The sequence below is a fragment of the Homo sapiens genome, chromosome 4, assembly GCF_000001405.40.
Source record: "Homo sapiens chromosome 4, GRCh38.p14 Primary Assembly".
Classification (NCBI taxonomy): domain Eukaryota; kingdom Metazoa; phylum Chordata; class Mammalia; order Primates; family Hominidae; genus Homo; species Homo sapiens.
The window spans coordinates 40,952,281-40,966,121 of record NC_000004.12 but is presented as its reverse complement, the minus strand read 5'-3'; the positions used below and the strand labels follow the sequence as shown (position 1 = coordinate 40,966,121).

Below are 13,841 nucleotides of genomic sequence, written 5' to 3'. Positions count from 1 at the left end.
TAGATGCTTAAGTCACATATTTGTGCATCTATATTGGTAAATTATCAGTTTTTTCCAATTTAAATCATAGTTTCAGTATGAGTTATATTAGGATATTCTTTGTGTTTAGTTTCAAGGATTGGACTTGAATTTCTAAAGAACAGCATTAATTCTAGAGAAGGGTAAAAGTGTTGAAAGTGAGAGCAGTAGAACGTTATGAGTGCTTCAAAATTGTTGGCCATTCCTTACCTAGAATTTTAATATTTAATTCAGAACAAGTTTTGTATCCTTCCAGTCATGGGACCACATGATGTTTTCCAGGACCTTCCAATTTGAGGCTCCAAATAAATTTTATAAAAAGAATCTCTCTTGAACCTCTGGCTCACTGGAAGCCTCTAAAATACTGCCATTCATTAGAAATACAATGTGAGCCACATCCCTAATGTTAAATATTTAATAGCCACATTCAAATAAGTAAAAAGCAATAGACGAGGTTAATTTTAATCATCTATTTTATTTAACTCAATATATAAAAAATATCATTTTGACATAGAATCCATATAAATATTATTATTTTATATCCTTTTTATTGTTTTCCAAATTCATGTGCGTTTTATACTGACAGCACATCTCAATTTGGACTAGACACGTTTAATATGCTCAGTAGCCCCATGTGGCCACTGACTCCCCTATTGGACAGCACAGCTCTAGAACTTGGGGCTTTTCAGAGCCTTGGGCCCCTCCAATAATTATTTAAACAATGTCTGTATCTTTGGTGACTTTTCATTAGTATTTTTACAGTTAAGGAAATATATAAATCTAAAAATGCAAGTTTGTTTTGGACTTAAATTGTAAGCAGTTAATTATATGTCATAATTCGTGATATATTTTCATCCCTGCTCCACGCATGCAAAGCATCCCTCTTATTTAATGGACTTACTTGTTTACTTGCTGTTATTTCCTTACCTAGCTGCCACGTTTTTCCACCCATAGTCAACCATTTTTTTTTTTTTTTAATTTTTTGAGATGGAGTCTTGCTCTGTCGCCCTGGCTGGAGTGCAGTGGAGTGATATCATCTCACTGCAACCTCCACCTCCCGAGTTCAAGCAATTTTCTTGCCTCAGCCTCCCAAGTAGCTGGGACTACAGGCACGTGCCACCACGCCCAGCTAATTTTTTATATTTTTAGTAGAGACGGGGTTTCACTGTGTTAGCCAGGATGGTCTCGATCTCCTGACCTCGTGATCTGCCCGCCTTGGCCTCCCAAAGTGCTAAGATTACAGGTGTGAGCCACCACTACCGGCTACTATTCTAATGTGTTTAATGGGTAACTTTTTGTTCAAAACTATACTTGCAATGTGCATTGTTGTGTGTGTGTGTGTGTGTGTGTTTATTCAATGGGTATTTTCCCCCGTGTACTGTGTTTTGGAGATGTATCCATAGGCTATGTGTACATGGGCTGCATTGTTTCCAGTGGCTGGATGGTGCTCCATTCTGTGAATCCAACACATTTTACCTTTCCCCTGGTAGAGTGATAGACTTGCAGGTTGCCCCCATTTTCCCAGTACCACAGGGAGCACCCCGCACATTCCTCTAATTGAACTGCATGAGAAGGCATGTGGCATACACTCTCGATATTGCTGGGCCATAGGGTGTATGTCGTTTACTTCTTTTGGGGAAAAAAATGATTTGTTTATCTTATTTTTATTGATGAATGTATGGATATAATTTTACGTGGTTTTGCTCAGTGAAAAACACAGCATTGCAATTGTTGGTTGAATCAGATGACAGGTAGGTGAATCAGTTATGGACTGTTTTTTTAGGGATAGCTTACTAGTTCAATGCTTGTAGGTGTATTTCTCAAACAGACCCAGTGGCCACAAAAGAGGGTCAAGCTTTTCCAGGGTGACCAGTTGAAATCTGGGCCAAGTACAAGTGTATGTAGCCTTTAGTCACAGTAAGAAAATCTTCAGTTCTTGTTCTATCAGCAGAGCAGAATTTATTTTTTTTTTAAATGAGTTAGTCATGGAAGCAGAAAGTTGGTGGGGGGTTGGAGGGATAAAAAAAGGTATTACCCTTAACAAAAAGAAAGCCCATGGAAAATTCATGATGAAACTGCATTCTTGCTTTTAAAAGTAACTTGTACTGTTGCATTCTTCAAAGGAAATTTTTTAAACTCTGTATTTTCTTTCAATTCCTTTCTGTTTTGGGCTCCATGGTTGGGTACTTCCCACTGTAATATTTTCTAAAGAGAAGGGTAAATGCACTCAGTTCATTCATCAAAGCATGTCTGCAACACAGGAAGACACGCAGTGTTTTCTTCTATGAGGAAGAAAGCACAAACAGCTGTCTAGGACAAACTTCTTGACACAGCCATGCACTTGGTCCCACTGATGTTTGCCAAAATAGGCGATTATTGTCAGTATTTTTGTCAGCAGTGAGGAAGACTTTGATATAGCATCGGATTCATTTGCTTCCAAAGAATGTTTCTCTATTCCCACTTCTGAGAGCTAAGGATCATTTATGTGTGATGAGCAGAGTCTTCTCTCAAAGGCCTTTCATTTATAGTAATTCCTTTCATAGAAAAAGTAATAGAGGCTGGGCGCGGTGGCCCATGCCTGTAATCCCAGCACTTTGGGAGGCCAAAGCAGGAGGATCGCTTGAGCCCAGGAATCTGAGCCCAGCCTAGGCAACATGGCGAGACCCTGTCTTGCTAGAAAATCAAAAAACATAGTTGGGTGTGATGGTGCATACCTGTGGTCCTAGCCACTCAGGAAGCTGAGGTGGGAAGATCGCTTGAGCCCAGGAGTTTGAAGCTGCAGTGAGCCATGTTTGTGCCACTGCCCACCGGCCTGGGCAACAGAGAGCAATACCCTGTCTCAAAAAAAAAAGAAAGGAAGAAAAAAAGAAAAAGTAATGGAATGAGTTTGAGGAGGAAGATGCTTAGAACATGCCAGAATTCAAGAGCAGAAAGACCATCATTAACAAATGGACGCTAACTACCAGTAGATCCAGAAAGAAGGAACTGGAGCTAGCCCAGGACAAAAACCTGGTATAAATCAAGATTTTCACAAGCGAGAGGCTTAGATTTTGCAATGAGGAAGGGGAAAAAAAGAACCAAAGTATTTCTGTAGTGTAACAAATTTGGAAACCTTCCCAGAGACCCTGCAGATAAGAAACCTCTAACGCTTCAAGAGCGTTTTTCTCATAGGAAAATAATTTTAGCTACTGGCTGGAATTCGAGGCCTAGTGGGTTAACTGGTACATTTGTGGGTGAATAAAAAATAGCAAACAGCATTTCTGAATCTTTTTTGGATGTCATAGCAAAGGAGGACTCAGATTCCCCAGGCAGGCTGTATGGTGATATGTACTCCCCAACCCCCACCTGAATCCCTCCCTTCCTCCTTCCCTCCCTTCCCCCACTTCTTTGTCCTCCTCTTTCCCATTCATATAGATACTATCTAGGCAACCTTTGTAGTTTCTCAGAATGAGATAGGAAAAAAAGGGGACCACTCCTAAATACATTCTCTTATATTCAGAAAACTTACATTGCCCACCTATGACGTATGGGACATGTTTGCGGTACCTTGGTTGATTACAGTAAAAAGAACAAGAAGTCTGGTCTTTGCTTTAAGGAACTTAGATCTGTTCAATTTGTGATTAATAGCATCGATAAGAGACCTTTTTGAACATTTTGCAACCGAGAATTCACAATTTAGACACCAAATAGTTCTGTGTTCTCATCTTTACAGAAAGGAGGATGTCCTTCTAAACTTTGAGCATGAATTATCGTTTGAAAATTTTGAGAATAATTATTTCATTTACTGGTTCTTTCCTGGAATTTTGGCTCAATTACCTAATATTGTCTTATGCTAGATTCTATTTTTGAGAAGCGTTAAAAAAAATGGCAGTTTCTATACATGCATCCCTGGCAGATGGGATCCACAAATACCCCTGCCTCCTTTCTGTCAATAGCCCCTGCATCTTTGAAAAACTCAGAGCTCTGCATATCACTTTTTCATTGCTGGGAAAGAAAAACCAAGCTATTCCACAGGTGTGTGGCAGCTAATTGGTTTTGCCATTTTGTTAACCCTCTAGAGAACGTTTGCTTTCCTCTCTTGACCTAGAATTGGAGGGTCTTGAGGAGGAGAATGGCATAGATCAAAAATTGAAAACCTTGAGTCAGATTAATGACTGGATGTTGCTTGTGGTTGGCTGAATCCTGCAGGTATTTCTTGAAGTTTGTGAAAAAATAAGCCCAATGCAGTGTCTGCATTTGGTCTGCATTTGTCTGCATTTTTGACAATACTTGGAAATGAGGTTAAGATGCTTGGATTGGTGGGTGGTGGAAAATGAATGAATCATAACCGATGAAGTTATATTCCAACAATATGATGTTTCAGAAGGAGTCTTGGGCCAGATGAGAATCAGGAAACTGGTTTCTTTTTTTTTTTTTTTTTTTTTTTTTTTTTTTTTACATCTTTTTTTTTTCTTTCATTATTATACTTTAAGTTTTAGGGTACATGTGCACATTGTGCAGGTTAGTTACATATGCATACATGTGCCACGCTGGTGCGCTGCACCCACTAACTCGACATCTAGCATTAGGTATATCTCCCAATGCTATCCCTCCCCCCTCCCCCCACCCCACAACAGTCCCCAGAGTGTGATATTCCCCTTCCTGTGTCCATGTGATCTCATTGTTCAATTCCCACCTATGAGTGAGAATATGCGGTGTTTGGTTTTTTGTTCTTGCGATAGTTTACTGAGAATGATGATTTCCAATTTCTTAACCCAACTCTATAATTTAGATGTCTATATGTTTGTGTTTGAATAGGAGATTGCAAAGCTAATCCATTAGAAGCTGTTTCTTTCCTAGACTAGGCCTGGAATTTAGTTTTTTGCTGTGAGATGAATGAAATAGGATGAATTTCAACTATTAGTAATACAAGACCCCAAAATAACTGTGACTTATTACAATAAAAATGTACTTCCCTTTCACATAGAAGCCTGGCAGTAGCAGTCCACTAATATGATGGCTCTGCCCTACAAAGACCTCAGGAACCAAATTTCTTCTGCCTTCCTGCTCTGCTGTCCCTAGGCTATGTCCTCATAGTCCAAGGCAGCATCTCTGTTGCAGGCAGAAGGAAAAAGTATGCCCGACTGCTTTTTTTTTTTTTTTAAAGGAGGGCTCTTGGAAATTGCCATACAGTCCTTGAGCTCACACTTCAATGGTTAGAATTTACTTGCATGGCCACACCTAGCTGCAAGGGAGGCTGGGAAATGTAGCGTTTATATCGGGTGGCCATGTTTCCAACTAAAAGTTTATATGGCTGTAGGAAAGACTGGCTGTTGATGAACACTGGCTTTGATGAACATCAAAAACAGAAAAAAAGTGGCGGGGCACGGTGGCTCACACCTGTAATCCCAGCACTCTGGGAGGCCAAGGTGTGCGGATCACAAGGTCAGGAGATCAAGACCATCCTAGCTAACTCGGTGAAACCCCGTCTCTACTAAAAATATAAAAAATTAGCCGGGCATGGTGGCGGGTGCCTGTAGTCCCAGCTACTCAGGAGGCTGAGGCAGGAGAATGGCGTGAACTCGGGAGGCAGAGCTTGCAGTGAGCCGAGATCACACCACTGCACTCCAGCCTGGGCGACAGAGCGAGACCCCGTCTCAAAAAAAAAAAAAAAAAACCCGAAAAAAAATTTCTGTTTTTGATGAACTTCTTTTATTATATAACTTTGTAAATTTTTTGACCAGTAATTTAAATATCTTAACCCCATGGGTCTATTCTCTTGTGTTATTTATTGACTGAAATATATTTATATGTTTTATATAGCCTGCCTCAAATTCTTTTTTTAATGTAGGTAGAGGTACTCCTCTTATTACTGAGAGGAGTAATAAGAAAGAAGCTTTTACTCTGATCCCTTTAAGTATGTTTTCACAACATAATCTCAGAAAAACGTTTTTCTCTGTACTCCTCCTCCCCATCCATAGTCTAAAATCCTTTTTTACATCAAATATTAAAGCTTGTCCATTAACCACTCTGACAGGCTGAACAATTTACCTCCGTTCTACTGATTTTTTTAAGGGCACTTAACCTTTAAAATACACTTAACGAATAGGATGGCTCCCAAATAAAAATACACCAAGATTTTTCTGCAGCCAAATGATAAGCATTTTCCTAACCTCGATCAAGTTATTTAACATTGCTGAAATCTGTTTCTTTAGTAAAATGGGAATAATATCTGCTCTGCATCTGTGGCAAGATTTTGTGGGATCAAGTGAGATTGGATTAATTATAGCTCTTTGGAAGTCCTGTAGTGCTCTGGAAGTGCATGCTATAGTTCTTATATCAGAAATAAAATGTATATGGTTTATGCATATGTATAATATAATATTCATTCTAATCTATGAGAGTGTAGTATAATAATGTTCCCACACACAGATTTGGATTTTACAAAACATGACGCCCACTTCAGCTTGTAATTGTAATATGCTGATAAAAGGCCAAATTGTCATTGAATACTGTGTCAATTGCCCAAATTCTCCATAATGATCTTTTGTTGAAGTATCTAACTTAAGTGGGAAATCAAGTCCTGGCATGCCACCATTTAGAAGAATAATGACGTTGGAGTTGATCAAGGCCACTTCTAAATAGCTTCCATTTTGTGATCGTTGCTGTTGTATACTAGCCAGAGGACTGCAGCTCTGAGAGAAAAGCATATTGAAGATCCTGCCAAAATAACAGAAAAGAAAATTGTCTCCATTTAATATATTTTCAAACCTGCCTACCTTGAAAGAGTGTGATGCCACTAGTAATTCTATTCTGTTTAATTGTATGGAAGCCAAAGAAAGATTCATGCCCCTGGTTGTATTTTGTCTTCTCTTCTCCTGCTGCTCACTCTGAAATAAGAATAAAATTAAGTTGAAAGATTAGGTTGACAGAGGATGTGGCAGCGGGGCACATTCTCTGAATGATGTTGTGCAGTTACACTTAGCTTAATGTCCATATAATCATAGATCTTTCTGGAATACTGTGGTTAGGACGAGTGACTAGGTAGTCTTCCTGCCAAACCTAAATAAATCCTGCCTGGTATTGAACAGGTTGTATTGCTGTCACTCATTAGGTGGGTGGGATAGGCAGACAGCTGGAGGAGAAAGTAATAAAGCCTGCCTAGCTATTTTATCTAAATATGATGTGATCTCTACTTTTTAAAATTATAAAAAATTAAGGCTGAGTGCAGCGGCTCACGCCTGTAATCCCAACACTTTGGAAGGCCGAGGCGGGAGGATCACTTGAGGTCAGGAGTTCAAGACCAGCCTGGCCAGCATAATGAGACCCCATCTCTACAAAAAATTTAAAAATCAGCTGGGCATGGTGGCGGGCAACTGTAGTCCCAGCTACTCAGGGGGTTGAGACAGGAGAATCGCTTGAGCCCAGGAGGTCAAGGCTGCAGTGAGTTGTGATCATGCCACTGCACTCCAGCCTGGGTGACAAAGCAAGGCCCTGTCTCAAAAAAGGAAGAAAGGGAGAGAGATAGAAGATTATCAAAAATTGCTGATTTCAAGACCATTCTCACCTACACCCATTCTCCTTTCATTATTATGCTTAGGCTTTTGGATTTTTAAGGGTTGTGATCTCAATGCAGTTTTTTTCCCAGTACTTCTCAAGAAAACAAAATTGAGATTACCATAATTGTCTCTAGTTTTCTTAAAGTAAAATACAAATCTTCACTCAGATTTTAAGTTTTTATTAAGCTTTTTTGGAAGGAGCACCCTTAAGCCTGAGGTTCTCAGTAGTGCTATGTTGTATACTATGTGCACACTCTAAAAGGAAATAGTGTTCTTAGGTTATACTTCATCTCAAGACTTTAATATCACTAGTTAGAAAATACGTGTTTTATTCTGTGTGGAGGTATTTAGAATTAGACATTCCAGTGATAAAATATTAAAATATTTTACTACATCTAAAATATTCTATAACCAGGTCATATGATTAACCTTAATTATATATAAGTTTATGGATGGATGGACCGATGGATGGTTGAATATTTACAAATACAGAGTTTCCTTCTAGGTAATTTTTAGCTGCTTACATTTCATGCCTTTTAGTTTTAAGTTTGTATGCAGAGTCCTCCTGACTATGTTGTGTTTGGTTTTGGTTAATAGTCTATGAACGGAGATGTATACTTTTATCTTCTACCAACCTCTGATCATATCCTATCTGCATACTTTTATGAGAATATGAGGTGGAGGCCGGGTGTGGTGGCTCATGCCTGTAATCCCAGCACTTTGGGAGGCCAAAGCTGGCAGATCACCTGAGGTCAGGAGTTCGAGACCAGCCTGGCCAACGTGGCGAAACCCCATCTCTACTAAAACTATAAAAATTAGCCGGGCGTGGTGGTAGGCGCCTGCAATCCCAGCTACTTGAGAGGCTGAGGCAGGAGAATTGCTTGAACCCAGGAGGCAGAGGTTGCAGTGAGCCGAGATCGCACCATTGCACTCCAGCCGGGGCAACAAGAGCGAAACTCCGCCTCAAAAAAAAAAAAAAAGGAATATGAGGTGGAGCAGAAGCAGTCCCCCATCAAGAATGTCTTAAATAGAAAACAGATTTAAACTATTTTGTTCTAACTTCCTTTCTGTTTCTTTAAGGGCTCAACTACATGACAGAAAACAGCCACGTGCTAATGAAAGAGGCATGATGTACTCAAACAAGTGTGTTCTCACATGATACATCATTTCTAAATTGACATGTGGGTGGCCAGTGTTATTATCTAGTTTTCTTGATCTAAGTACAAATTACCTTTTTAATAAAAAAAAATGTGATTGTTGCAGACTCTCAGAAATCATATTTTTTTAATGAAGAAATACACTGTGGTTGATGGCATTTAAAAAAATGTTTTGAATTACAGAATATTTTTTTCCAAAGCCACATATGAATGTAGCAATTGATAGCTAATGATAATAAACATTTACTGAGTGATTACTATGTGCCCGGCTTTGCGCCGCCTTTGTTCCACATCCACCCTGTGAGGTAGGAGCTGAAATCAGTCCTGTCTTACAAAGAGCAGATGGGTCATTAGAATTTAAGCCATTTTCTCTGAGGTCACACAACTAGCAGGCATCGGGGCTAGATTCAATTCCAGGCTGTTGGTGTGGCTACAGAGCTCCTGTTCCTGATAGTAATACAGCCCCGAGAAAATGTAGTTGAGTAAGCCCAGCAGAGACTATGCCTCCATGTGTTTAAATTAAGAAACTTTTGTGTTGATTTTATGCCAACATGCTTGATAAAAATAGACAAAGTATGTAATGTTAAAAAGCCCAAATTTAAGGACCTTTTAAGTATTGAGTTCTTGGAATATTTACTCAAGAATCTTCAACAGAAAAATCCTCAGCTACAAATAGCTTCCTATTTCAAAGATACTCAGAAATCTTAACATTAATTTTTTAATGAAAAATATGGGGAAAGGTGTTAGGGAATTAACACTCCCAGAACTGTTAAGGTTTTTTTTTTTCTTTTTTTTAAACAACTGTTAAAATAATGCTACCACAGGGAAGTTCAATTGAATACAAAGTGTAATTTTTCTGAGGCTGTGGTAGACATTTCAAGACCTAAATTATGTCTTGGAAAGACATATTAAGAAGTATAAGGGCCTTGAAACTCTTCAGGCAGGCTTTCCTCCCCTCCAGCAGGCCAGTGGGTCAGGATTCTGGGCGCTCCCAAATTTTGGACACTTTGGGGCCTGTCCCTTTCTTACCATAGTCAGTGTTTCTGCCGATTCCTTTGGTTGAAGACAATTTCACCTCAGATTCTAAGCAGCCTCTGTTTGCTGCCTGGAACCCTCAGCAAACCTATTCATGATCTAAACCCAGAGTCCTGGCTCTGGGCTGTTGATTGTCTTCCAAAGTTGGTGGTGAAGCTGGAGGAAGTGAAGAGCCCTGCTTGCTATATTCTGACAACACAAACCTTGGGCCAGAAAAAATAAAGGGACTAAGTAGTGAGAGAGAAAAAAAGAGAGAGGCAAAAGAGGAGGGCCACCGTGTGATCAGAAAAATATTTTTTGGGCTAGGTGTGGTGGCTCACACCTGTAATCCCAGCACTTTGGGAGGCCGAGGTAGGTGGATCACATGACGTCGGGAGTTCGAGACCAGCCTGGCCAACATGGTGAAACCCTGTCTACTAAAAATACAAAAATTAGCCGGGCGTGGTGGCACACGCCTGTAATCCCAGCTACTCGAGAGGCTGAGGCAGGAGAATCACTTGAACCCAGGATGTGGAGGTTGCATTGAGCCGAGATCATGCCATTGCATTCAGCCTGGGCAACGAGAGCAAAACTTCATCTCAAAGAAAAAAAAAAAGAAAAAGAAAAATATGTTTTGGTTAGGGGAGGGAGATGGAATCTTTTTATGTTGCTCAGGCTGGCCTCAAGCTGTTGGCCTCCAGCAGTCCTCCCACTTCAGCCTCCCAAGTAGCTGAGATTACAGGCACGAGCCACTGTGCCCAGCCTGAAAAAGAGTTTTAAGGCTAAATTCAAATAGTTTGGATTGAAGCGTTAAGCTCCGTCGAGAATAACATTGCTCCAAAGAGTCAGTAGTAGCAGCTGCCACTAAGACTTTGTAAGAGATCAGAAAGATCCCTTCAAGAATGGGAACATTGTGCAGATTATTCCTCTGATCTTTTCAAAATACAAATCACATCACATAATAGCTTCAGATAATCCTTTGCATAAAGGATGAATCTTTAGCCAGTGGGGCTTTACGCCTTATCACAGACCTCTCACCCCTAATCGAGTGACCTTTCTGTTGTAATGACATACAGTCTTTTTCCAGCCACATGACCTTGCCCTTGCTGTTCCCTCTTTCAGAAATGCTGTTCTCTCTTTCAGAAATGCTGTTCTCTTGTCCCTTCCCAAGGCTGGCTCCTTCTCCTACTTTAGGGAGACCTCACTCCCTTAGAGGCCTTCCCAGACATCCTCTTAAATAGCCCACCCTATCCCCAGACATGATTGTTTGCCTCTCTTATTTATTGCTGTATTCCCAGCTTCTAAATAATATTTGGCGTTTATAGGAGGTCATCGGTACAGAAGAATGAGTAAGTGGATGAATGAATGACTGAGTACACACGTCACATTTCTTCTTCTGTGGAGCCCAGTAGTTAGATAGAGTTTGATGGAAAAGAATGACTACCTGGCCGTACAGTGGTGCATGCCTGTAATCTCAGTACTTAGGGAGGCCGAGGCGGGCGGATCACCCAAGGCCAGCCTGGCCAACATGGTGGAACCCTGACTCTATTAAAAATACAAAAAATTACCCGGGTGTGATGGTGTGTGCCTATAATCCCAGCTACTTGGGAGGCTGAGGCAGGAGAATTGCTTGAACCTGGGAGGCAGAGGTTACACTGAGCCAAGATCGTGCCACTGCACTCCAGCCTGGGTGACAGAGCAAGACTCAATCTCAAAAAAGAGAAAAGAATGAGTACCTTTTCTTTTCCTAGGCCAGTGGTTCTCAAAAGTGGGGACTGTTAGAAATACAGATTCCTGGGCCCCACTCCAGAGTGACCGAGGCTCCCCAGCAGTGTACGTTCTCACAAGCCCTCCAGGTGACTCTCATGCTTGAGAACTAGTGTCTTAGGCCGGGTGTGCAGTTCCCCATCTATTGTCATCACCTCTGCACCCCTAGCTTTAAACCAGTGTCTGGCACAGAGTAGACAGGAAGCATTTGTTGAATTAATTAAGCCACCTTCCCTCTTTCCTCTCCACCCCGTGCCTTTCACACCCAAAGCCCTGGGTGCACAAATGTTGGGGAAGGGAGCGATTGCCTTCCTAAGGACCCGAGGGAAATCTTGTGCTCTGTAGTACAGACCTTGCTAAATTTAGACTTTCAGCTCACCCCTTCCTCCTTCCTGTGCCCTCCGCAGCAGGAGAGGAAATTTCCAGCTGCTGCTAGAAGCAAATCTATTTTCATTTGACCCTTGGATTTCTGCAGGTGAGCCTAGGGGGAAGAGGGTTATTAGAAGTGGGTTTGCTTCACACACTGGCCCCACCCGGGAGTGGTCCTTGTTCAGAAGCCAGGCCCCTAGCCCTGGCGCCTGAGGTGGCTGGAAGGAGCCGGTCCTTGCTGCTCACAGATGGGCTTGTTCTCAGGCCAAGTATTGCTTTTGGCCCAAGAGGCTCCCAGCACAAGAGAGACTTTGTGGGGCTCTTCGCCTTGCTATTTTTACACTTTGACTTCCAGGCCCTGCTTCCTGTTCCCTCACAAAAGAACAAAAAGCACAAATTACGAAGAGCCGCAGAGCCCCTTTGAAAGGACACCGATGGCTTTCAGCTCCCACTCTTGACCTGTCCCCTGTCAGCAGGTGACAGTGCCTTCAGTCAGAGGCAGTGATGACAGGAGACTAGAAAGGAGGGAAGGTGGAGAAGCATGTGGATCTCAGCCTCTGCAGCATGTGGAGAGAGGAATTTGATCTTTAAGGCTTCTAGCACGAGGGTTTTAGAAATATATGGGCCAGCTGGAGTGGCTGGCCTGGATTTACTGGAGCAGAATTCGGGGGAAAGGCATTTAAAGGAGGCCCCTGGATAGAGGCCTGAGTTGGAAGTGTTCTCATTTTTAATATCCCCAGAATGTCGGGGTGGATTGGGGCTCAGGGCCAGTCTGCGGGCGAATCTCGGTGCAATGACACACCAGTTGACCATGGTCAAGCCAGCTGTGGATCTCATAGCCTCAGCCTTGTAGCCATTGTTTGGTTATGTTGTCATCCTTATTTATTCATCTTCTAATTTCCCAATGCTGTCCATCTGGGTTTTTCTCAGGTCTCTGTAGAATCCTTTTTTTTTTTTTTTTTGAGATGGAGTTTTGCTCTTGTTGCCCAGGCTGGAGTGCAGTGGCGTGATCTCGGCTGACTGCAACCTACCTCCCAGGTTCAGGTGATTCCCCTACCTCAGCCTTCTAAGTAGCTGGGATTACAGGTGCCCACCACCACGCCTGGCTAATTTTTTTTGTATTTTTAGTAGAGATGGGGTTTCACCATGTTGGCCAGGCTGATCTTGAACTCCTGACTTCAGGTGATCCACCCTCCTTGACCTCCCAAAGTGCTGGAATTACAGGCGTGAACCACTGCACCTGGCCTAAAATCCATTTTTATATGAGGACATAGTTTACCTTTTTGGCTGTAAACCCATCTGCTGTCCTCTCTGAGCCCTAGAAATGGGGATAAAGATAGTGCCTCCTTCATAGGGCAGCTATGACAAACCACAAGCTCCTGCAACGAAGGACACAGGGCGCGTGATACAGCACCTAGTGGCGTCAGTGTCCTTGCAGTTGTTGCTGTTACTGTTACTAGCTTTTATAACATCCCAGCGGGAAGATAGCACTTGCATTCAAGACCTGAAGGACCTGGATTCCACCCTTGACTTCTAGCTGGGATTGATGTGAGCATTAAATGCAGCGATATGTATGAAAACATGCTTTGTTTTATGGATGGGGAACTTTTTTCCAAATAAAGGCCTCACACCCAGTCAGGGGGAAGCTCAGAATCATGTACAAATGCAAAGCAAGTTTATTCATTTGGGGTTGGTTTATGTTTGAGAGAAACCTAGAAGTTTCACAAGTCTACTTAAAAATGGAGAATGAGGGCATCAATCTTTATTTTAAAAATTATGAAATATTTAAATTAAAAATTATGAAATATTTTTGCTTCCTCATTAATTGAGAGAGAAGAGAGATATTTGGAGAAAGAGAAGATGTCTTGTCACAGTAGAGGCGTCACCAGCCAGGGGCATACACGGTGTATAATAAGGAAGACAGTCAGCAAGGCAGGTGGGGTAGAATCTGGACTTGCCGGACCTCCTCAGATCCTGG

General features: G+C 41.7%; 1 protein-coding gene across 51 annotated transcripts in view, besides 1 other annotated feature; it reads left to right on the top strand.

Moving 5' to 3' along the window:
- Positions 1-13,841, top strand: part of APBB2 (amyloid beta precursor protein binding family B member 2) — a 404,516-nt gene that overhangs the window by 248,421 nt on the left and 142,254 nt on the right. The window lies entirely within an intron of this gene.
- Positions 11,572-11,641: a silencer, noted in NCBI's record as "silent region_15383". NCBI's record gives its function as "represses an Ori minimal core promoter by ATAC-STARR-seq in GM12878 lymphoblastoid cells {active_cell/tissue: GM12878}" and the evidence as "EXISTENCE:reporter gene assay evidence [ECO:0000049][PMID:35858748]".